A 25571-nucleotide genomic window follows, 5' to 3' on the forward strand; every position below is an offset into this window, starting at 1 on the left:
GTCTGGAAACTAGGAATGTATTTATAAGTCTTGGATCTTAATTTTTTAAAATATAGGAGTTGCGGATCTAGCTATCAGTTTCTCTCACATTGCTGACTCTCCACTGAATAGTTAATTCATGCATTGGTCCCTCTAAGTGGAGCCTTAGAAGAATAACTCGACATTTTGCCTTGATGGAAAAGAAACAGGCCAGTAGAGAAAATCTTCATTCTAAGCCAGCATGGGCCAAAATGATGCAGGGCGGTAAACCTGCTCACATTTTACTCATTCCTCCTTGTTTCCTTTATCCTGACTCTTTCCACGTGGTCCGCAGGGAACTGGATCAAGGGTGAAACCACAGAGGTGTCGAGGGAGATGCCTTTCTCACTCCTAAATTATTCACATCTCTGTGTAAACAAAGGAGTGAGAAGTGTGGCAACTAAAACTACATAGAGAAGATATGCAATTTGACTGTAAATACAGAAAACTTTCAACAAGAACACAACTGGTATGGTGGTAGGGAAATTGCGTTATTGTTATCTGCTTAAAAGTATACAATAAATACATACTGGCTTAAGACTTGATAGCTTGTAAGTAACATAAATAAAGATGGCTCAAGACTGTTTAAAAAAATACCCACTGTCTTTAACCATGCTTTTAGCTAAAACTCCACCCAGACCAAGAAAACCTACCAGTGGTATTTTAAAGATTATTTTTTTCATTGAGATGTTCTTTTCTTCTGTCATGAAAACAGTGAACATGTAGAAAAGTATTTTTTAATTAGCTATACAAATTTCTTCTACGCAGGCCCACTCAAAACAGATCAAGACTTCACCGTGCTTTATATTTGAAAGATATTAACATTGTTGTCCCTGGACTTTTCTATCATAGCACCTATAAAAATTTTAATTCTTTAGACATTTGTGTGATTATTTGCTTCATGTTTGCACCCCCACCCCCAATAATCCAGGATTGTAAGTTCCAAGACAGGAGCGGCCACGTTTTATTTGTCCGGGTGTACCTACAATGTTAATGTAGTCCTTGATACACAGTTGGTGACTGGTATATATCTTTTGAGAGAAAAAATAAGAATACCTTTTATCATGGCTTTTTATAAAAAGATCGATGATGAAAGATCTAAACAAAAAGCAAACTTTTAGAGACAGAAAGAGTTCATCCTAAAAATAACATGGAATTCTGAGCAATTTGCATTATTATAGTCCTTATATTGATGCCAAAAACAAATAATAATTTGTTTAAAAATACCTTTTTAAAGATAAAACATGTAATCACCATAACAACTGGAAGCAATAATGTCTTTGTGTATCTCAGTGGAGTCTGAAATATACCAAATTATTCAAAATAGTTACTTACAATTTTTACATTAAATTAGTAAACATCTATGTCAAACTAAGTGCCATGATAACATTCCTTAAAAGTAAAAGGTTAAATTTCTTTGTCATCAGCAGAATATATATTTATTATCTTCCATGCCTTAATAAAATAATTAAAATTATAAAAATAGTTATAAAAAGTATTCCAAAAATTTAATGAAAAATTTATTATTTTAATAAAACTAGAATTGCTATATCTATTTTTTCTTTTCTTTTTTTATTTACATAATACTAAGTTTTAAAATGTGTGTTTACCGATCCCTGGGTCCTACATTGTAACTTTCTGTACTACACAGCTCCATTATTTTCATTAGTGAAACTAGAGCTAACAAGAAAGAAAGCTAATCAAAGTTAATGACTAAAACTATGAATAAGTACAGAAATAACATTGGCTAACTAATTCTGATGACCTGTTATTGTGATGATAAGGAGTAATTTACCAGGTAACTAAATTATACATTTCTTAAAAGCAAGAAACCAGTTCATTTTCCTCTTTGTCGTGCTATAGCAAACTGCCTCATGGATAACTAGTGGTCAATAATAGTTTTTGAATGAATGGGATGACTGGTTGGATGGATAAGAGAAGGATGTAAAATTTTATTATTTACCACTAATTCAGAATTCATAATGATTACACAAGGAATAATCAATCCAGTAGCAACTTTGTTATGTTCTATGAAGAAAATTAAGCTACAAATAGAGGAAACAGCCCTGGATTGAGAGTTCTAGAATCCATTAGAATCCATGTCCTGATCTTGGCTTGTGTGTGCCTTAGGCAAATCTTTTAAGCTTTTCTTTATCTGCAAATGAAAGAACTATATGGCATGGTCTCTAAGAGCCCTTCCTGATCTTGTGTTCCATGATTCTACAAAGAGGCCAATTTTTTTTTCTTTTTTCTTTTTTCTTTTTTTTTTGATACAGAGTCTCACTCTGTCACCCAGGCTGGAGTGCACTGGTGCAATCTCAGCTCACTGCAATCTCCGCCTCCAGGGTTCAAGCAATTCTCCTGTCTCAGCCTCCTACTCAGGCTGGGACTACAGGCATGCACCAACATGCCTGGTTAATTTTTGTATTTTTAGTAGAGATGGAGTTACCACCATGTTGGTCAGGCTGGTCTCAAACTCCTGACCTCAAGTGATCTACCCGCCTCAGCATCACTAAGTGCTGGGATTACAGGGATGAACCACCACGCCCAGCCTATATTTTAAAGCTTTATAACATTAACTTTTTAAAAAGAATAATACCTTGCATTTGTATAATTTAAAATGAATTTTTATATGTTCATTAAAACTCATCAGTAGCATACCTTTCTTGATAACATCTTGTTAAAAATGTTATAATATTTGGGGTGTTAACTGTAATAAAACTGAATTTCTTAAAAACAGAAACAAGAATTTAGACTTTTTCCTGAATGGTCCCATATTTCCAAGTGGCCTAGATTATTAAAAGTAATTGATTTGTAATAATAGTAATTATTATGGGTCATATAGTATGTTAAACACTCTTCTCCGATTATCTCATTTAACCATCATCAATAACTCTATAAGATAGAGGCTATTTTTTTTTTTAACAGACAAAAAAACAAGTGAGGAAGGTAGATTAGCAAAAGTTACAGTAAAAAAAATAAAATAAGTTGACTGTTTCTGTGCAAAAATTTTGAGTTTCAGATTTTAAAAAAACCTAGAGCAAAAACTCATATTAGTAAAGAAGGAAAAAGGAAACATTCATACCGCTTTTTCCATGAAGTCAAATTCGGGAGCACAGGTGTATATTAAAGTATCAAAATCTGTATACCTTAAGATTCTGGCTGCTATAAGATCACTCAGGCGAATCTGGGAGAAAATAAAGTAAAATGAATTAAAATTACACAAATGATTATAGCCTACAGCCAGTAATACTTTATTGATGTAAGAATAACAAAGTTTATAGAGCAGATAAATCCAATGTATTTAGACATCCCTCTAAGAAAAAAACTACAGTGAACCAAATATACCATGTGCTGACTTCTCAAGATAACTGAAAATAAAGAGAAATATCATGAAAAATGAAAAGTAGAAAGAAGTCAGAAAAAATAAAGAGAAGATGATAAAGAGTGAGCTAAAATCAATATCTGCTGAGAAGAAACCACCATGTAGTTAATTACATTTTATAATAAGACAATTTATCATGAAAAACTATTTTACTTAATCTCTTTCAACATACATTGTAGGTCATAAGCTTTCTGTGCACTGTCATTTTCACAAAGCCTCGCAGACTGATTACAATATTTGGTACTTCTTGATGTTTTACAGACATATATTCAAACCATTGAATATGAGACCTGATCCTCATAAGAATTACAACAATTATACATACCACTTTTATCTTTGACTTAGCTATTTGATCTCCAAGGCTAAAAGTAGATACTAACAACCAAACCCAATGCAGAACTTCTATTTTTCTACTGATTATTTACAACCTGCTCTTGGTGAGACAATTATTTTTCCACAGCATCCTCAGAAGGCCAGAAAAAGGAAAATATTTGGCAAGTAAACTCTTAATTCAAATTATTTTATAGTGACAGAAATTATTTTATAACAAATTTGATGATTATGAGTGGTTTTCATTCAATTATTTTTCCTAATCTACCACTACTCAAGGATAATTTAGAGTTGCACTTTATTTTTCTAATTTAGAATAGGCCTGGTGACTAACAGTAATTTAACCAAACCACTATAATTTCAGGTATTCCTCCTAACTGTCACATAAAGGAAGTCACTCAGGACTACCAAGGAAGTGTGTTTGCATTTTTTTTTTTTTTAATTTGTAGGGCAGGCATGGTGGTTCACACCTGTAATCACCAGCACTTTGGGAGGCCAAGGCAGGCGGATCACTTGAGGTCAGGAGTTTGAGACCAGGCTGGCCAACATGCTGGAACCCCATCTCTACTAATAATACAAAAATTAGCCGGGTGTGGTAGCACGTGCCTATAATTCCAGCTACTCAGGAAGCTGAGGCACGAGAATCGCTTGAACCCAGGAAGTGCAGGTTGCAGTGACCCGAGATTGGCCACTGCACTCCAGCCTGGGTGGCAGCGTGAGACTGTGTTTCAAAAAAAAAAAAAAAAAAAAAAGATTTAGATTTGTAAAGAGCTGGGGGTCAATGTGAAGTAAGGCAAGAAACATAATCATGAACAAACTTAACAGACAAATAAATAACTTAGAAGGTCTAAATAAAGTTTATCATAAGACATATATAATAAAGTTAAAAACAATAAAAAGGAAAGGAGAATGGGGAAATGTGTCAGACATGCCAGAGAACAGCAGCAACAAATAAACTAATAAACCACCATGCAAAACTAGCAATAAATGGCAAATGTTTACATTTAGAAATTTTATTTAATATAAACATGTTGCATGTTATATTGCATAGAGACAGCATTTGACCTTTTAGAGAAGTAATACTATAATCCCTTGCCAAAGTACATAATTTCAGCATCAAATAGGGCCCTAATTGGATAGCATTAAATGAGGTAAATTTCAAAATTGATTATTGTATGATATACTCATGTATGCTTATTTCTAAACAGAAAGTGCTAGAAATAAAAAGTAGATTCATGCATTGTTTTCTATTCCCTAAACCAGTTAGTTAAGCAGGGACTTAGGCCTTGAAAAGGGCTACTCTTTAAAACATTAACAAACAGAAATACTACATGAGAGATAAATGCTCTGCATTTATTTCCTAGAAAATGAAAAGATCAAAATTTTTTAACATTCTCTTTTTATATAACAAGAAAGGCCTTAAAACATCAAATCATACATTGATTTTAGTCCATAGTTATAAATAAATAAAACAATACTGAGATTTTAAGAGTTCTATATTTTCAAAGCTGGGGACAGCCTCCCATATGTTAACATCTGCAATAAATGGATAACTTATGATGTAAACAACTAATTATTTGTATTTTAACTGAAATATAAACAAATAACTACTTAACAAACTATTAGTATTTTTTTTACTAAAAGGGCAAGTCAGCATTCATGAATATTTTTTCTTTTTAGTGGGTTGCAAAGATCACTGAACTGCAAGACTTTATTGTTGACTCTGCCAATAACTCGTCTAGAGACCTTAAAGAAGGCACTTAACCTCTGTAAAATGAAGAGATAGGAATAGATGGTTTCAAAGTTTTCATTCAGCTACATATTTATAAGAACTTTTATGTTTTACCTAAAAAGTACTTACGTGGTCTGAAACGCCTAAGATTTTAGATGTCAGAAATTTCAAAATGATTGTTCCACACCACCAGGCACTACCTTGAATTAGCTAGAAAATAAAATAGAAGTCCAGTATTTAAACCTACAAATCACCCAGCTAAAGTATTCAATTATATCTATAAATGACATAGAAAAAATTTAATTATGTGAGGTATAAATGGTGAAGTTTTTTTAAAAAAGTTCCTTTAGAAAATCTTGTTTAAAAGCAAAGAATTAAAACTGATGACACTGGTATAAAATATATAGCAACACTAGAATTCTATATATCCTAAATCTTTTTTTTTTTTTTTTTTGTCTTAAGGAGTGAAAGGTTAATAGCCAAGAAAGAAAGAAGGAAGAAGAAAACAGCTCCCCGTACAGAGACAGAGGAAGGGGGGATTTGAACAAAGAAAAAACCCCGTGTGCGTCGGAAAAGTGGCTGCTTATACGTATCCCAAATCTAAAGGAAGTTTTTTTTTTTTTTGAGACGGAGTCTCGCTCTGTCCCCCAGGCCGGAGTGCAGTGGCGCAATCTCTGCTCACTGCAAGCTCCGCCTTCCGGGTTCACGGCATTCTCCTGCCTCAGCCTCCCGAATAGCTGGGACCACAGGCACCCGCCACCACGCCCGGCTAATTTTTTGTATTTTTAGTAAAGACGGGGTTTCACCGTGTTAGCCAGGATGGTCTTGATCTCCTGACCTCGTGATCCACCCACCTCGGCCTCCCAAAGTGCTGGGATTACAGGCGTAAGCCACTGCACCCAGCCAATCTAAAGGAAGTTTTAAAAGGTTACTTCCTTTTGATTTCTGTTAAGAAAAGGGAGTGTTTATGTGTTTGTTTCCAAATATTATTTCTCAGCTGAAAATCCATTTTTTAAAACACTACCTTAAAAGTTCTTCTACCACTCCTGTGGAAATATATGAGCCCATCTTCAAGAAATAACAGTTTGAAATGTGAAAACTTAAGCTTTCCTTTAAGAAAGAGGAATATGAACTAGAACGGCAATGAGGCTTCTGTGTTGTTGTTGTTTATTTTTTGACTAGCCTTGATTAAAAAGGGAACAATTGTGTACTTCTGGTTAGCCTGGGGAAAGTTACAGCAGCCTAAATTCAAATCTCTGCATATATCAACCAACAAGTAGAGCAATACAACCACATACATGGCAAAAAAACTTCAAATTACCTATGAATCGAAAAGGAGGCAACGAATCTATAGAGTTATACCTCAAGTCCCTGACCTAAGCCTTTGCAGAGAATGAGGGGAGACCCATAGAAGGATAAAGAAGAAAAGGAAAGACAGGGGTCAAAATTGGAAATAAAATAACCCAAGAAAGAGAAAAGTCCATCCTATGTGTAAAAAGAGCTCTGGGAGATTGGTAAATGGGAGTACAGAGCAGGGCCTAAGAGTGAGTAGGGACAAAAACACTGATGTTAGAAAGGCATCATTTCTGGAAAGAAAGGAGGATAAAAAGGGGAGTGCAAGAAGGAAAAAGTATCCAGCAGGAAAAATGAGAACCCAAACCAAAAGACTATCCATCACTACTGCCATCATGCACAAAAAAAGAAAAAAGTTATTCATTGAAAAAAATCACACTATGCTACATTTTCAGAAGAGGTTTGCACTTGGACTAGAAAACACAAAATAATTAATAGATGAAAAAATGCCTATATAAATATCCAAAGCTTCTTTAAAAAGATAACAAACATGAAAGTCAAATATTTCAGCTAATGAAATCCACACCACTGAACGATAAAATCTCACAAAACAGAAGAAAATTATGCAGAATTAAAAGTTGAACTAAATATCCTCAAACGAGCATTCAGAAATATTAAAAAAGCAATTTAAACAAGAAATTCAAAAACCAAGAACAGAAATGGGGAAAAAAGCAGAAAGAAAGAAATAGTTTATTAGACATAGAAAGGGAATGGAAGAAAAGGAGAATACTATCAAAAAAAAAAAATAAAAACTGAATCACAAGATGATAAAAAGAAAAATTCAAATAATGAAGGAATTGAAGTAAAGGCACTAAAACAATGATGAAGAATGAAAATGATACCAGAGAAAGAAGTGAGAAGTACCAGAGAAAGAAGTGAGAAGTATCAGAGAAAGTGGTAGAAATAGAAGAAAGGCACATAATTATAACTGGAGTGCCTGAAAAAGAAAACCACAGCAATGAATCAAAACTAGTGTTTAAATTATAATCCAAGAAAACTTTCCAGAAATAAAAGAAGACCTGAATCGGCATTTGGAAAGGATCCAGGGGGTACTGGAAAAAATTAATCTGGTATGGTAAACTAACTCAAGACATCTTTCAGTAGAACTATGAAAAATGAAGAAAAATTCCTCAGAACCTCCAGGCACAAAAGTCACATAATTTATAAGGGACAGAAGAATTTGGCTAGCATCAGACTTGTTAAAAGAAACATACAAACCAAAGCAGTGGTGTAGATGCATTTTTAAGAAACTTTAAAAATTGAGAACCAAGGATTTTATATCTGGCCAATCTGTCATTCAAGTACAGACGTTATTTTAAAAAGTTTCAAATATGCAACAATTGAGGAAATAACAGTAACTTTCCTAAATTCAAAAAGTTTAAAATAAAGGAGAATCATATACAGAAACAAAGCAAATATAGTCAAATACACATAAAACTTACAACAAAGGTTTTCACATTATCTCACAAAGCAAAGACAGACTCCATTTATGCTACACAGGGAAGACAAACAAAAACAGATTCAGAAAGGTGAAAAATAGAATGATGGCAGCAGCATGGCAGGCAAATGCCATTTCCATATGGAAACTAAGGAAGACATTTAAAGCAAGGATAAGAAGCAAATTCATGGCCTCAAAAGCTTTAGCAATAAAAATGAAAGAGTGAAAATAAATGAATTAAATCCTTGACTTAAAAATCTAAATAAAGAATAACAAAATAAAGCAAAAAAAGTACATGAAAGGAAATACTCATGAGAAGAATAGTCTATTATATCTACCCCTCTGTGTATCTATTTTGCTGTTTTATATTTCTTCCCTACATTCTAGGATTCCTTCTTGCATCTCCTTTTTGTTTCCAGAACTTTTTAAATTTTAAGTTCTGGGTACATGTGCAGGATATGCATGTTTGTTACATAGGTAAACGTGTGCCATGGTGGTTTGCTGCACCTATCAACCCATTACTTAGGTATTAAGCCCAGCATTCATTAGCTATTTTTCCTGATGCTCTCCCTTCCCCTACCCTCCCCTGACAAGCCCCAGTATGTGTTGTTCCCCTCCCTGTGTCCATGTGTTCTCACTGTTCAGCTCCCACTTATAAGTGAGAACATGCAGTGTTTGGTTTTCTGTTCCTACATTAGTTTGCTGAGAATAATGGCTTCCAGCTCCATCCATGTACCTGCCAAGGTACATGATCTCATTTCTTTTTATGACTGCATAATATTCCATGGTATATATGTATCACATTTTCTTTATCCAGTCTATCATTCATGGACATTTGGGTTGATTCCATGCTATCAAAAAAGAGTTTATACAGCCAAGACAATCCTAAGCAAAAAGAACAAAGCTGGAGGCCTCAGGATACCTCACTTCAAACTATATTACAAGGCTACAATAACCAAAACAGCATGGTACTGGTACAAAAACAGGCACATAGACCAATGGAAGAGAATAGAAAACTCAGAAATAAAACCACGTATCTACAACCATCTGGTCTTCCACAAACCTTACAAAAGAACTTCAGTTAACCATTCTTTAAGGTTCTCTGCTAGCCACAAATTATCTTAATTTTCATTGATTAGAGAATGTCTATTTCCCCTTCATTCCTAAAGGAAACATCCACTGGATATGTAATTCATCTTGACAAATGTTCTGCCCCAACCTTCTGGCTTCCTTACTTTCACCTGAGAAGTCTGCTACAATTCAACTCAATTTTGCCCTGTAGGTGATGTGTCATTTCTCCATACCTGCTTTCAAGATTTTTTTCTTTTCATTTTAAAAGTTAACTTATAATGTATCTTGGCATGGATTTCTCTGGGTTTGTCTTACTTGGGAATCGCTCAGTATCTTCACTCTGCAGGTGTGTCTTTCACCACATTTGGGGAGTTTTAGCAATTATTTCTTAAAATGCTATTCAGCCCCACTCTCTTTTTCCATTCCTTCTGAAATTTTGATGATACAAATATTAGATCTTTTGTTACTACACCATAGGTCCCAGAGGCTCTGTCCTTTTTCCTGTGATTTTCTCTCAATTTAGATTGGGAGATTTCTATTGTTCTGTCTTCAAGAGCACTGATTGCTTCCTCTGTAATATTCACTCTGCTACCAAGTCCATTTATTAAATTTTAATTTCAGTTATTGTATTTTTCAGTTCTATAATCACCAAGTTGTTCTTTAAAAAAAAAATTCTGTGGTGAGATTTTATAGCCTTTTCATTTGCTTCCAGAGTATTTAAAACTGCTCCTTGAAGTGTTTTTATGATGACTGCTTTAAAACCCTTGTCACATAATCCCCACATCCTATTCATCTCAGTGTTGACATCTGTTGACTGTCTTTTCTCATTCAAGTTGTTATTTTCTCCATTCTTGCTATGATGAGTGGTTTTTCTACTGTGTCCAGTACATTTTTTATGTTAGAGACTGTGGATCCTATTTTAAATTTCTATTTCAGCAGACAGTCACTTTGTTTTTAGGTTTATCATGCAAGTCCTGGCCTACTTCTGTTTGCTATAGTTACAATGACAGTTTAGTTTTCAGAGCCTTTGCAGTACCAGTGCTATTCTGGTCAGCTTGATTCATCTGGTGCCCTGGTGCTCCGTCTCAGCCTCAAATCATGCTACCAATGTAGGAAGAATGTACTTCCCATGTCCTGTTGCCATGAGGTGGAGGTTGAGAGACACCAGGATTGTGGGCTAGGAGGTCGGTAAAGAGCAGAGGGCTCTTTCCTGGGCTGCCTAGTCCTAGCAGGGCATCTGTTAGATCCCTGCTGCTGCTACCTGCATGGGCAGCCTTCTTGGAGGGAATAGTAGATACCAGACCCACAGCATGGAGAGCATTTCCCTGGACCCTCTTTCTGAGTGTCTTCTGCCACTGGATGGAGTTTCAGGAGATGGCAGCCTGTAGTGTTTTTCTGTGAGTTCTGAGGTACCTAACTAGTCTGCCTTTCTATAGCATTAGGCTGGGATTGGAGCTATAATTATGAAATAATTATTTCATACACACACACACGTGTGCACATACGTGCAGTGAAAGGGCCTAGAAACAAGGACACACTGGTAGTAATGAGTGCACATACCACTCAGGTCTTGGTTTCCAAATACCATTCTCCTCTAAAAGGAACCAGGGCTCCTTGGAAAAATGGCTGATTCCAAGGCTAGCACGAGGAAAATCAAGAAAAGCCTGGAGCATTATAAATTTATAAAGACATGTCAAAAAGACATCCAGCTTAGGAACATTCAAAATGGCTAGGCCTGGAACTGATATTTGTGTATAACATCTGGTTTTTTTCATATAGATAGACTATTCCAGCATCATTTAGTGAAAAGTGACCTGCAAGACAATCTTGCTGAAATTGCTTTGAATCTGAACATCAACTGGGGAGAACTGAATTACATGAACCTTCATACATATAAATGTGTTTTATTTTTCTATTTATATCTTAGAAATTTTAAAATAAATTTCCCCATACAAATACTGTATGTATTTTGTTAGATTCATTCAGATCCTATGCATTTTTCTTCCTAATACATAAGGCATATTTTAAAAAAATATGTTTTCTGTGTGTTGCCAAAGAATAGAAATGCAATTGATTTTTTAATATTAAACTTATATCTAGCCATGGTATTGAATTCTTCTAATTTCTAATAATTTGTCAATTATTTTATTCTTTCTAGGTAAATATAATACTATAATAAATTTTGCTTCTTTCTGTTTCTTTCCTTTTCCTGTTATTTACTTTTCTTGCATTACTAGGCTAGTTTGGACCTTTAATAAAATGTGAAAAAGCACATTTATCTTTATATTGATTTTAAACAGAACACTCTAAATACCTTATTATCGGTAAGACTAATGACTGCTGAAGAATTTTACTGGGTTGAGAAAACTGTTATTTCTATCGTGTTACATGTTTTCATTATAAATGGGTGTTCAATTTTATCAATTTTATTTTCTGCATCTAATGGGATGATCATAAGATTTTTTCTCTTTTAATCTGTTAGTGTGATAACTTACATTTTTGGATTTTCCAGAAACGTCTTTGGATTCCTAGAATAAGCCAGATTTATCACAAGTGGATTATCTTTATCACATATATGGCTGTTCTTGAGTTACTAATCTTTTACACTTTTGTGTGTAAGGAATGTTTTTAATCTAGGTGAAATTTTGAATCTATGCTCACAAGTAAGAATATCCTTTCTCATACTATCCTTATCTGGCCTTAGTACTGAGCTTCAGATTATCTTGGAGGTTCCATTTCCCTTCTTGTAATGATTCTCATGCCTCATGATGCACACAAAGTTCCCCTTTGTAAATTTTGTAAATTTCAGCATGAGCTCAATTCAATAATTACTTTGTTACCAAAAACTGGAGTCTCCCATTAAATAGTGAATTTGCTTCTATTGACGTTAAACTCTAAAATGAATCACTTAGATCTAAAAATACCTTGTTCAGGTTGTGTGTAATAAATACTTATTTTTGCCAAAGATATACAGAGCTAAAAACAGAAAATAATACCTAGGGGGCTTAAAAAACATGTAAGCTGAACATTTGGTTAAATCTCAACTTTTCCCTCCTTAGATTTTTTGTTTCTTTGATATTCTTGATTTTAAAACTTAGTCAATTCATGTTCTTTCCAGTCTACTACTGAAAATGTTGTTGAAAATGAAGACAGTTAATTTTCCTTTGAGTGCAGCCTTGGCAGAATTTTTTTTGATGTTTATGGACACTCTTCTATTTATTGTCATTTTTCAATAGTTTGCAACTGAAATTCTGACCTCCTTTTGAGTTATTAAATTGCTCAATTTTTCTGAAGTGAAAGAATTATATATTACAAGTGTAATGTCAATATGTGAATTTCTACAAAGCTTGCCTGCCTAAGGACAGGTGGCCTGGGTAAAGAGTCAAATTGGTAGAACCAACAAAGAATAATAAAAAGACAAAAAAAGCATCATGCCATTCATTCAACAACTTAGTGGACAAATCTTTCTATATTTTCACCATAAAGGATGGGAGAATGCCTCCAACAAGAAGAAAATAGCAACTCCTTCCATTTTGTTCTCTTGTATTGTGGGTAGGAACCTATCTCCTCAACTTGTAACATTTCCAGACTTATCCTTTCAATATATAACATGTAAACATACAGTTCATTTCTTCTGTCACCCAGGGTGGAGTGCAATGGGGTAATCATGGCTCACTGTAACCTTCCAGGGCTCAAGCGATCCTCCCACCTCAGCCTCCTGAGTAGTTGGGATCACAGGCTCATGCCACCATGCCCAACTAGTTTTTCTATTTTTTGTAGAGACGGGGTTTTGCCATGTTGCCCAGGCTGGTCTCAAACTCCTGGGCTGAAGCTCTCTGTCCACGTTGGCCTCCCAAAGTGCTGTGATTATAGGCGTGAGCCAGTGTGTGTGGCCCAGGGTTTATTTTTTAATAGAAGAACATCACAGACCAGAGAAAAAGAATATTGTCTGTCTCATATTAAGAGAATTTAGGAGTTCCACTACCTGCCTAATAACTTATTTTACTAGGAAACCATGGAGGTAATATGGGCCATCCATCTGCATATTTGGGAAGAAGCCAAACAAAAATTAGGTAGTGGCTGAGTTCAAATTAGAAGGGGCTGGGAGACCATAAGGAAAATGTTAAAAGGACAAAAGTAATGGAGTCTGAAGTTGGAAGCAGAAGGAAAGAGAGACAGATGATGGACAGATGCAGAGGAAAGAAAAGGAGAAAGCTGGCAAGAAACTACAAACTTGAGTTATGTTGAAGGGAAGGTTAATTGAAGCTAAAGAGAGAAACTCAAGACAAACAAATTTTAAAAAGCAAGGCTGTATGGATATAGCAGAATGAAACATAAAGGAAGAGTGGCCTGAAAGTTAGTTGTGAAATATGTGAGCTAACTTCCTGAAAATGATTTCTAGTCCTTGCTAAGGACTATTTCTTTACATATCTATCTGCCTTAGATAGTAACTATTTTTAAGACAGTAGCTATTTATTAACTATAAATCATTAGCATTTTAAAGCATATTAACTGTGTTCAGTTTACAGAAATAAAAAGTAGAATTTAAATAAACTGCATTAAAAACATTGAATCTTACCCAAAAGTTGAGTTTAGATACTCCCAGTTTTTGAATTTCATTTCTCTTTAGAATTATTGCCTAAAATGCACATAAGGGAAAATGAAACAATTCAATACAATTAACATTTATATTTTGTATAAATGGTACATTTCAAAAATTATATAGCCACCCTGTTCCATCTCAGCTATCACCAGCCATTTTCCTCCTTAACTGTTGATTTTTCAAATTTTTGACAAATTTTGGCAAATTCCCTTGAGGTGAAAGTTAAATGGTTTGTGTGTCAAAAAGTTGCCTCGTTATTTCCTCACTTAAATACCCTGTCCATTTTCTGCAGGATAATTCCTCTACAAAGATAAATGGTATGTGAGCAGATGAGAGCATCCATGCAAGTCTGTATGTCAGTTATCCAGCAACGTTCGTGAACTAAACTAACATGAAAATCCTTCCTCTCCAAATTGCCGAATAAAATATTTAAACATGTTTAAAAAATGTATACTCATGTGAAAGAGAAAGAACTTCTCCGATGCTAGAAAAAAGATTATTTTTAAAAAAATACAGTATTAATCAGCAGAGAACTACCACCCCTGGCAGTCTTTATAAAGGCCTGTAGAATAAGGTTCCAACTATAGCCTTGTATTGTAAGGGGGAGGGCAGCAGAAGAGGCCTTGGGTCTATGCAAGGTAAGAAGTTGGAATTGAGACTAATACATAAAGCTAGGGTCCTCAAAACTATACCTGCAGTGCTATGCACTGAGTATTTGTGTCCACCTCAAATTCAGACTGAATCTTTAATCCCCAGTGTGATAGTGTTTGGAGGGTGGGCCTCTGGGAAGTAATTGAGTCATGAGGGTGAAACCCTCATGAATGGGATTAGTGTGCCTGTATTACAAGAGACTAGAGAGTTGATGTCTCTCTCTACCATGTGAGGACACAGTAAGAAGGCTTCTGTCTGCAAACCACAAAAAGGGCTTTCACCAAGAACCAAATCAGCTGGCACCTTGATTTTTGAACTGCTCAGCCTCCAGAACTGTGAGAAATAAATTCCTGTTGTTTAAGCCACCCTGTCTGTGGTACTTTTGTTATAACAGCCCAAACTGACTAAGACACACAGTGACTAAGAATACTTCACCTACCATCTCTACAAGTTGATAGGTTATTTGTTTATTCCCAAGTTTGGGGTGAAAACAGTGCTCTCATGAGAAACTGAATTCTCGGACTTGGGTATTATTTAGACTTGGACTCCAATTTTCTATCATTTAGTTGGTGCAGAAATTCCCAAAGTTAGCCAGGATTACTAAACTTCCAATAGGAAAATATAAACGTATCAGATTATTCATTGCAACATTGTTTGTAAATGCAAAAGTTAGGCAACAACCTAAATGCCCAGACATAGGAGAGTGACTGAATTACAGTAAATCCAAAGCAGAACACTAGGAAACTACCAGAAAGAATGAGGAAAATCTCTATGAACTGATATCCAGGATAGGTTGTTAAATGAAAAAAAAAAAAAGTCAAAAGACTATCTTTAATATAAGAAGAGGAGATATAAAAAATATACATGTAACAGTTATTAGTACTTTAAAAAGCCAACTAAATGGGTCAACCAGAAAACTAATGAGATTTCTTACCTACAGGGAATAGACAGTAACAGGGTGAAAAGAAAGGTGGAGAGAATGTGCTGGAAGGAATAGTGGGAAGTATTTTCTGAGTATAATTTTATATATATATATATATATATATATATATATATATATATATCTTCCTCATTGAAACATGGTAATGTTTCACCCAAAGTAACTAAAATCAATCAGAATGAAACTTCTGCTTCTGTCCAAGTTTGTATAACAGGAACCACATTTACTTTCTTACCCTAAAAAACTAAAATACCAAGCAAAATAGATTATAGAGACAACTATGAACAATTATATGCCAACAAATTAGATAACTTATAAGAAATAAATTTCTAGAAACATACAACCTACCAAGAGTAAATTATGAAAACACAAAAAAAACTCAACAGATCTATAATAAGGAGATTAAATCAGTAATAAAAAATTTCTCAACAAAGGAAAACCTCGAACCAGATGGCTTCACTGGAGAATTCTATGAAACATTTAAATAAGAATTCACACCAATCCTTCTCAAGCTCTTCCAAAAAACTGAAGAGAACACTTCTACACACATTTTGTGAGGCCAGCATTACTCTGATACCAAATCCAGAAAAAGATACTACAAGAAAACTACAGGCCAGTATCTCTGATGAATATAGCAACACACACACACACACACACACACACACACACACAAATATTTCTTTTAAAAATGAGCAAAGGACTTGAATAAACAGTTCCCCAAAGAATAAATACAAATGTCCAACAGGTATTTAAAATGATGTTCAACATCACTTATCATCAGGGAAATGTAAATCAAAACCACAATGAGATACCACCTCAAACCTGTTAGGATGGTCATTATAAAACAAAACAAACCAAAACTAAACCAGAAGTAACAAGTCTTGGCAAAAATGTAGAAAAATTGGAATGCTTATGCACTGTTGGTGGGAATATAAAATAGTGCAGCCAAAGGGCACATCAGGTAGTCTACACAGAAGAGTTTGCTTCAGAGAGCAGCAATATTAGCCATAAACTAACCAGTACTTTAATTCCAGCTAACAAATCTTAAAAGCAAGACCTGAAAAGATCAGCCTATGTTCAAGTGGCTTAACTGCATCACAGAAAAAAGCTCACGAATATCTATAGGAATAAGAAAATAATCCAGCAGCTAACAAGGTAAAAGTCACAAAGCCTGGCATCAAAGTAAACATTGCCAAGCATGCAAACACTTAAGAAAACACAACCCTGATATGAGAAGAAGAAACAATTAATTGAAACTGACACAGATGACAGAATTAGCAGGTGGAGGCACTGAGGCAGTTAGTATAATTGTATTACACATGGTGAAGAAGTGGTAACAGAGAAAGAACATGTTAACTAGACACACAAAAATACTTCAAAGATCCAAAATGAACTTTTAGTATGAAAACTGCAATGACTTAAAAGAGAAATACACTGGATGTGATTAACAACAGGTTAGATACTGCAGAAAAACAACTAGTGAACTCTTGAAGACACAGCAATAGTAACTATCCAAAATTAAATAAAGAACAAAAATAAACATAGGCTCCATGAACCACTGAACAATTTCAAGCAGCCCAATATGCATGTAATGAGAGTCCCTTAATGAAAGTGAGGTGGGGAGGCAGAAAAATATTTGAAGAAATAATGGCCAAAATTTTTCCAAATTTGATAAAAATTGTAAACCTAAAGATCTAAGAATTTCAATTAATCCTAAATACAAGAAACATAAAGAAAGCTATAGTAAGGCACATTATATAAACAAACTGCTCAAAATCAGTGGTAAAGAGAAAATCTTATCTCTAGCTGGGAATAGCTAGAGAAGTAACATATTATTTACAGACAAAAGTGTAGGGATGTCAACAGATTTCATAAGAAAAAAATGCAAACAACAAGACAAGTCAAGCAGCATCTTTTAAATTCTTAAAAAAAAGTGCTGTTAACCTGCAATTCTACACCCAGGAAACATACCTTTCAAAAACGAAGGCAAAATAAAGACTTCATGACCAGGTGATTTGCACTAAAGGAAATGTTAAAGGAGGTCTTTCAGACAGCAGGAATACAGTAAGTCAATCTGGCTGTACACAAGTAAAAGGCACCGAAAATGGTAACTACAGGGTAAATATATAACATTTTAAAAATTTCAAATACTTTTAAAAGGTAATTTACTGTTTAAATAAAAACAAAAATTTATTGAGATTTCTATATCACGTTTAAGTAAAATGTATGACAACATGAAATAAATTTAAAAATGTACTTTATCAAAATATGTGGGATGTTGATAAAGCAGTACTTTGAGAAAAGTTTATAGCACTAAACACCTGTGTTTAAAAACAAAAAACAAAAAACAAGAAAGGTCTCAAGTCAATGACCTTGCTTTATACCTTTAAAAAAAAAAAAAGACTAGAAAAAAAGGAGAGCAAAACCCAAAGTAAGCAAAAGAAATGAGGTAATAAAGATTGAGTAGAAATCAATGAAACAGAAAACAAAAACAGTAGAGCAAATCAATGAAAACAAAAGCTGGTTCCTTGAGAAAATTAATAAAATTGATATACCTCTAACCAGACTGATCAGAAAAAAAAAAATAGAACACAAACATCTAATACCAGGAATGAAAGAGGAACTATCACTACAGATACTATAGATACATAAAAGAAATAAAATATTATGCCTTTGTCAATGAATTTGACATCGTAAATAAAAAAATTCCTTGAAAGATACAACCAAAGTTCACTCAAGAGGAAATGGATAACACGAATAGCCTTATACCTTATTAATGAAATGGAACTTGTAGTTAAAAACATTCCTACAAAGAAAGTCCTAGATGGTTTCACTGGTAAATTCTACCAAATATTTAGGGAAGAAATCATAAGGATTTTACACAAATTCTTCAGAAAACTGGAGAAGAGGGAACACTTCGTAGCTCATTTTATGAGGCCAGCATTGCCATGATACCAAATAAGACAAAGATGTCACAAGAAAACTATGAACCAATTATTGTCATGAACTTAGGTGCAAAATCATAAGTACAATTTTAGGAAGCTGTATCCAACAAAAAATAATAAAACAGCATGACCAAAGTGAGGTCTATTCAAGGAATGCAAAGATGCCACAACATCTGAAAATCAACCAATATAATGCAGCACATTAACAAAACAGAAAAGAGAAACTATATGATATCATATCTTCAAAATTCATTTTTGAAAAAACTCAGCAAGCTGAACAGAAGGGAACTTCTTTAACCTGATAAAGGGCTTCTCTGAAAAATCCTATAGCTAACGCAGTTACTTAAGGATGAAAGACTAAACAATTAAGCAAAACTTACATTTCAAAATGAGCCATTTAAAATAAGATATTTAAAAATACTAAAATATGTGAAAGAATGACACAAATCAAAATTAGAAAAACTGAGAAATGAGCTGACAGAAATCAAATAATTTGAAATAAAACAAAAATAATTTCAGACATAAAAAACTAGAAGGAATATGAGGAAATGAACATAATAATAATGCCTTAAGAGCTATAAAAGGTGAAGAGAAGAAACTTTTAGAAATAAAAAAAGAAATAAGATAAAAAGTATTCAAGAGAAAGCGATACGTTTATAATGTATCAAAACTTGTAACACTTTTAATAACAACCCTTTTGGACAGAAGTAAAACAAGTACTCAAAGCAAAAAATAAAACAGACAGCCAGGTGTGGTGGCTCACACCTGTAATCCCAGCACTTGGGAGGCAGAGGCGGGCAGATCACCTGAGGTCAGGAGTTCGAGACCAGCCTGGCCAACATGGTGACACCCCGTCTCTACTAAAAATGCAAAAATTAGCTGGGCGTGGTGGCAGGCGCCTGTAATCCCAGCTACACGGGAGGCTGAGGCAAGAGAATCTCTTGAACCCAGGAGTTGGAGGTTGCAGTGAGCCAAGACTGCACCATTGCACTCCTGCCTGGGCAACAAGAGGGAAACTCCGTCTCAAAAAAAAAAAAAAAAAACAGAAGAAGAAAAGAAAGAAAAAGTAAAAATAAAAGAGACAAGAATTTTACATAGAGCCAACTTCACTTTCAAGTAAAAGGCGACAAAACAAACTGTGACAAACACATCAGAATTGAAGGAATTCTCTTGTAGAACAAGACTAAAATAACCAAGATAACTAGGAGATAACGACATAAAGACTGGTGATAAATAAATGCATATTTGTTCACATAAAAACATGAAATAAGATTGATAAGGCAGAAAATACAGTATGCAATACTCTATGTTCTGACAATATAGATACAGAATTAGTAAAAAAAATGGGTGAAGAGAATGAAAGAAGGATATGCAAAAAATTCTTTATTTCTCATAATCATGTGCGTGGTGCAGTATAGCAATTCTCATGCATACACTTTGGGAGAAGGCAAATGGATATATGATATTCTATCATCCCCTGGCTTCTTGAGACCCAAGCGAAACAAAAAAACAAATACAGGATAGAAAGAGTTAAGTAAAAACCCTATATTCTTGAATTTGATTTGGAAATACCCATCAGAACTTGTGAGCTAGTTTACCATAAATGCATGCACACACACACATGCACACACACATATTTTCATGGTATATTTTTAAAGAAAGAGAGCGAGCCTGCAACCTATAATATTTCCTAGCTCTGCCCACTAATAAGGCCTAGAAACAATGACCTACTTAGTAGCAATGAGCATCCATGGGTCCCAGACTGCAGTCTTAAAACACCATTTCCCCAATAAAGGCAAGAAGGGTGCCTTGCAGGAATGGCTTCCTCCAGGTTTTGGGCAGGAGTACACAAGAGAGACCTGGAAAAACTTGTCATACATGACACAAGTATGCTATCAGACCACCAGTGTCATGTCAGAGAACTTAGGAGAAATATAAAGAGGCTCCCCTGGTCAACAGAGAAACAATCTGAGAATGAGTAAAGATATTAATTTCAATTAACTTGAAATACATCAAAAATGTTTAAATCCCTATGTTCCTAATGAAACCTAAACACACACATACACAGCCCAAAGAGCCCACATTTGGAAGATGACAGGGAATCAATTCATTATTTTTAAAACTTGCAAATAAAGAGGTAAATCAACATTTACTTTACTTTTCCTAAATGAACTTTAGATGACAGATTAGAATGTGACCACTTTGCAATCCCTAATGAATTAACAGATCCAGCATAAGGCACTGAAGGCTAGTACCATAAAGAGAGACATTATGTGCCTTTTAATGAAAGAACAATACTAAAGACTTGCAAAAGTGATCAAGCCTGAAGCAATCCAAGTTTCAGATCCAATTTCTAATAGATCAAGCTATACCATGAGACAAAGGAACATGCTTAGCTATACCACAAGAACTCAAAAAGCAAAATCTGGACCATGAAATCCTCCACATGTTCTATGACTGTGGTTCTTCAACAAATAAACTTCATGAGGATAAAACCAGGCAGATATGCAGGAAACTTGTAGCTAAAAAGAGAAACTTAAGTGATGAAACTATAAAGGAATGCTGGAAAGTTACTATCATAGCAGTCAAGATAGTCATTATCGTTTTAGGGCAGTACAAGGGAGTGCTTTGGGACAGGTCACATGGAGGCTTCTACACTCATTTAGAAAGTTATAATTTTGATATAATGGTAGTTTAAGAATGTTTGCCACATAATACATAACACAGTCAGCCCTCCACATCCATGGGTTCCAGTTGCTGCAGATTCAAACAACAGCAGATAGAAAATATTTGAAATAATAATAATACAACAGTTTAAAAAGTACAAATGAAAAAACAATACAGTATACAACTATTTGCATAGTATTTATATTGCATTAGACGTTATAAGTAATCTAGAGATGATTTAAAGTATATAGGAAGAGTGCATAGATTATATGCAAATAACACACCATTTTATATAAGAAACTTGAACATCTGCAGATTTTAGTATCCACAGGGGTTGGGGGTGTCCTGGAATCAATCCCTGCAGACACGAAGGGGACATTGTACTCATCAGTATTAGCCAGCTCTAAGTCAGCACACAAAACATTTGCTTTATGCAGTTTTATCTGTACTATATTTCAAAATAAAAAAGTTTTCATTAAATGAGGTAGATGAGCACACTATTAGGAGTCCTCTACTCTGTAATGGTGAAATAGTTTGACAAAATGTTGGAAAGAAAGAGCATTTTTTCTGGGAGAGAAAGAGGAGGGATTACTATGAGGGAAAAAGGATATGGAAAGCAAAAATGTTAAAACATAAGGGCAATCCCAAAAGATTAAATCACTGCACCATACATGGAAAAGTGCTATATTTTGGCATTACCGTAGTTGGTATCATTTCTGATCAGTGTGGAGATGGGAGGTACAGGACAATATTCTAGGTTCTGGCTTATAGATATCAGAAGTATAACTACAATGTAATAGAACTGATTTACTAAACCACCCTTCCAAACACATATCCAAAAGAGTGTCATTCCATGTAGTTCCCATGAAGAGACTGCACATTTATTCTAATTATCTTGCCATCGCTCAAAGTAGTTTGGAACTACACTTTCTAAACTGCCTTCAGAAATAATTTAGTTATAGGTGCAAAATAATCGGTCTTATGACTTTACTGTCACACCATCGTTTCAGCAAGATCTGTATTACCCAGCCCAATCACACAAAATATTCAGAAAATTTTGGTCATTTCCAAAGATCAAACCCACTCTTGAAAGGCAAGACATACTAAAGAATGTGCCATAGTCTGTGAAGGAAACTCAGAGAAGTTCCAAAAATGTTCTGGGCAATGGCAGTGTCACTGCAATGAGTACTTAACATCCTCAAGTGACTTAGGAGAAAAGAAGTCATTTTTGTCATAAAATGGGATATGATTAAAGTAAGTCTTATTACTTTATGATCATTTTTAAATATTTACTTGGGCACTGTCTTAAAAAGAAAAACTTCCTACTATAATATTTTTCAAGGATAAGATAGATAAAAAGCTTTGCTTGGGAAGAATTTTGTCATGTTGAGTGATAATCAGGAAAGGGCCTATTTATTCTCTTATACCTGTTTTAGACAGGAAAACATGCTATTTGGCAGGTTAAAAAAACCCAACTTTATGAACTAAACACTTACCCACGTCATTAACAAAGATGAAGAATAAGAAGAAGATAAGTACATTGAATTTCCAAACATCAAAATGAAACTAAGGGTAACTGAAATCTGAAAAAAAAGAAAAAAATACATTTTATGGTTATTACATATATTGGCATAATGCATATTTTGTAGGTATATAGCCATTTCTAATGCAAATTTATTTGCATAAAGATGAACGACTCTTGGCCAAATGATAATAGAATTTCAAGTCACTGCTAGATTCTAAGTATTAAAATTCAAGACCATAAACTCTATCTGGCAGAATTTAACTTTTTCTCCATCTGCTACTTGGAACAATGAAAAATAAGTCTATGATTTCTATTGTTTTAACAATGGAGTAATATAATAAGAAAGACTTAGTTATAAATACCAGTTTTACTAATCATATTTTTGTTAGACTTCAGGACTTCTATTATTTATGAAGCTTTACTAACTTTTTATGTTTTTAAGGAAGCTATGTTTGGGACCTAAGCCCAAAACAAAATTGCAAGAATATAAAATTTCAGTTAGAGTGTCATATTCAGGCAAAATGCTAAAAATCTCATGTCTGAGAAAGAAAAGGCAGTTTTAAAAGTAGTAATAATAATAAGTAAAACATAAAAATAAAAGTTCTAGAGAATAAAACACATCTACAGTCCAGTTGAAAGTATAATCTGTTATAATATGTCATCTATAATATACATTTCCAGTTTTCCTTCGGGATATCACCAATACCATATGTATTAAATATTACCAAAGAGGAGGTACCCTATAAAACAGAATCACTTCGATTTTATAAACTCTGAGAACCTATCTTAATATTTGACTTATATATATTAAAAATGTTACCATGTTCATATAAATGATCTTCTGAAATTTGCTTGGTTCAATGTATCCCACAACATACATGGGAAATAATGATGCTATCTGAAATAATATAAAAAAGCAAAAGTGAAAAAAAGTATAGAAAACTAACACTTTACTATTCACAGGCAAAGTAAATATAAGAGGAGGGCTACAGTTCTAATAATGGTAAGCAAAGGAATTTGAACCAACCTTCCCACTAAGAACTAGAATGGCTAGGAAAAATATAAATATATAAATAAAAATATTTTAAAAATATGTATAAAAGCCACAGACTATTAACAAAGCAAATGAGGAATTAAAAAGATAGATGGCAATCTATACCGATGAGCATGACATTTTGGGCCACTTTTCTCCCAGAGGTATCTGCCAATTTCAACAGAGGCAGATGCCTGCCAGCTGAGAGGCAGTTGGGAGACCAACAAGCTGAGCAGGCATTTCAGCAGATTCAGCAGTCAGAGTGCACCAAGAAGGGTGCTTTAGTTTGGAGTTTCAAAAGTCCATACTATAATAGTGAACCAGAAATCAAGCAGCCCTCAGAAAGACTGAAACCCATCTATGGATCATCTCAATCTGATTGCATAAAAGTGGTTCAAGATTTATTAGTGCTTTTTACTCGCCTCTCCAATTTTTCATGTATAATGTCCAGCACCACATCAAAAATAACCCAGCATAGATGGAGATAAGACACTATCACTAACACAATAGAAATAGATCCACAAAAGATTTAGATCAGGGATCAGCACACTTGTTATATAAAAGGCCAGATAATAAATATGTTATGCTTTGTTGGTCACATACAGTCTCTTGTATGTATATTCTTTTTCTACTTTTGTTCTATAACCCTTTAAATATATAAAAACTATTCTTAGCTTGGAGATCACTCAAACACTTCTCTGGCATAATCAGATATATCTTTAAACTATGCTTCAAATGTTCAAGGAAGTAACTGATAGGATTGAAAATTCCAGGAGAGCACAGAAGTCATAAAAAAAAATTGGGCCAGGCATGGTGGCTCACGCCTATAATCCCAGCATTTTGGGAGGCCAAGATAGGAGGACTGCTTGAACCCAGGAGTTCAAGAGCAGCCTGGGCAAGATGGTGATACCTCATCGCTACAAAAAATTAAAAAATTAGCCAGATGTGGTTGCACAATGAACTAATTTTAACCTTAATCTATGAAAAACACAATTAAGAATAAAATCTTAAAGTACTCCCAGAAAATAACATTGAATTATCCCTCTGTAAGCATGAAACACACACATACAAACAAAACTATATACACTAGTAAAGAAAAATAAAAGACTAGTATATATCCAGAGAATGACTAGAAAATCATTAACAGCAATATCAAACTTACCCAATAACTTCTTTTTTTTTTTTTTGAAACTGAGTCTCACTCTGTCACCCAGGCTGGAGTGCAGTAGCGCGATCTCGGCTCACTGCAACCTCCACCTCCTGGGTTCAAGCAATTCTCTGCCTCAGCCTCCCAAGATTACAGGAGCCCACCATCATGCCCGGCTAATTTTTTTGTATTTTTAGTAGAGACGGGGTTTCACCATCTTGGCCAGGCTGGTCTTGAACTCCTGACCTCAAGTGATCCACCCGCCTCAGCCTCCCAAAGTTCTGGGATTACAGGCGTGAGCCATCGCGCCCGGCCCCAAAGAGCTTCTTAGTTTCATCAGTATCACTGGATTAATAAATTTGCTTGCAATGAAATGATGCTCATTAAAAATCTATTCTACTCTGTTGGCATGTGCAAATAATGAAAACCATAGAATAATGTCTGTGTTATAACCTGAAAGGGGCCAACTATTATGAAGTAAAACAGAGGGAATACTTTAAACATGAAGCACCAATTGAGCTGGGGTTATAATTTCATTCTTTGTAGGCTATTGGCAGCATGAGACTTCTTGGCAGAATTTCTCACTTCCAATATAGAATATTATTATTATCATCAGCATTTGTTATGTAGGAAGGAGCTCTGATGGAAAATCTTAGTATCATGAAATGTCATCAAAATTCTCCATTTACTCTCTGCTTCCCCAGTTCAGTTTTTTGTTACTAGTTATGTAGTT

The 25571-nt window shown here is 34.4% G+C and overlaps 1 pseudogene across 1 annotated transcript in view; it reads right to left on the reverse strand.

Moving 5' to 3' along the window:
• Window positions 1-25571, reverse strand: part of DPY19L2P1 (DPY19L2 pseudogene 1) — a 106187-nt pseudogene that overhangs the window by 38415 nt on the left and 42201 nt on the right. The window contains exons 10-15 of the transcript NR_002833.3: window positions 23479-23556; window positions 22630-22716; window positions 13907-13966; window positions 5595-5675; window positions 3104-3205; window positions 1246-1317 (exon numbers count right to left, since the gene is read on the reverse strand). The product of NR_002833.3 is annotated as a DPY19L2 pseudogene 1 (transcript). The remainder of the gene's footprint in view (window positions 1-1245; window positions 1318-3103; window positions 3206-5594; window positions 5676-13906; window positions 13967-22629; window positions 22717-23478; window positions 23557-25571) is intronic.

The sequence above is a fragment of the Homo sapiens genome, chromosome 7, assembly GCF_000001405.40.
Source record: "Homo sapiens chromosome 7, GRCh38.p14 Primary Assembly".
NCBI classification, from domain to species: Eukaryota; Metazoa; Chordata; class Mammalia; order Primates; family Hominidae; genus Homo; species Homo sapiens.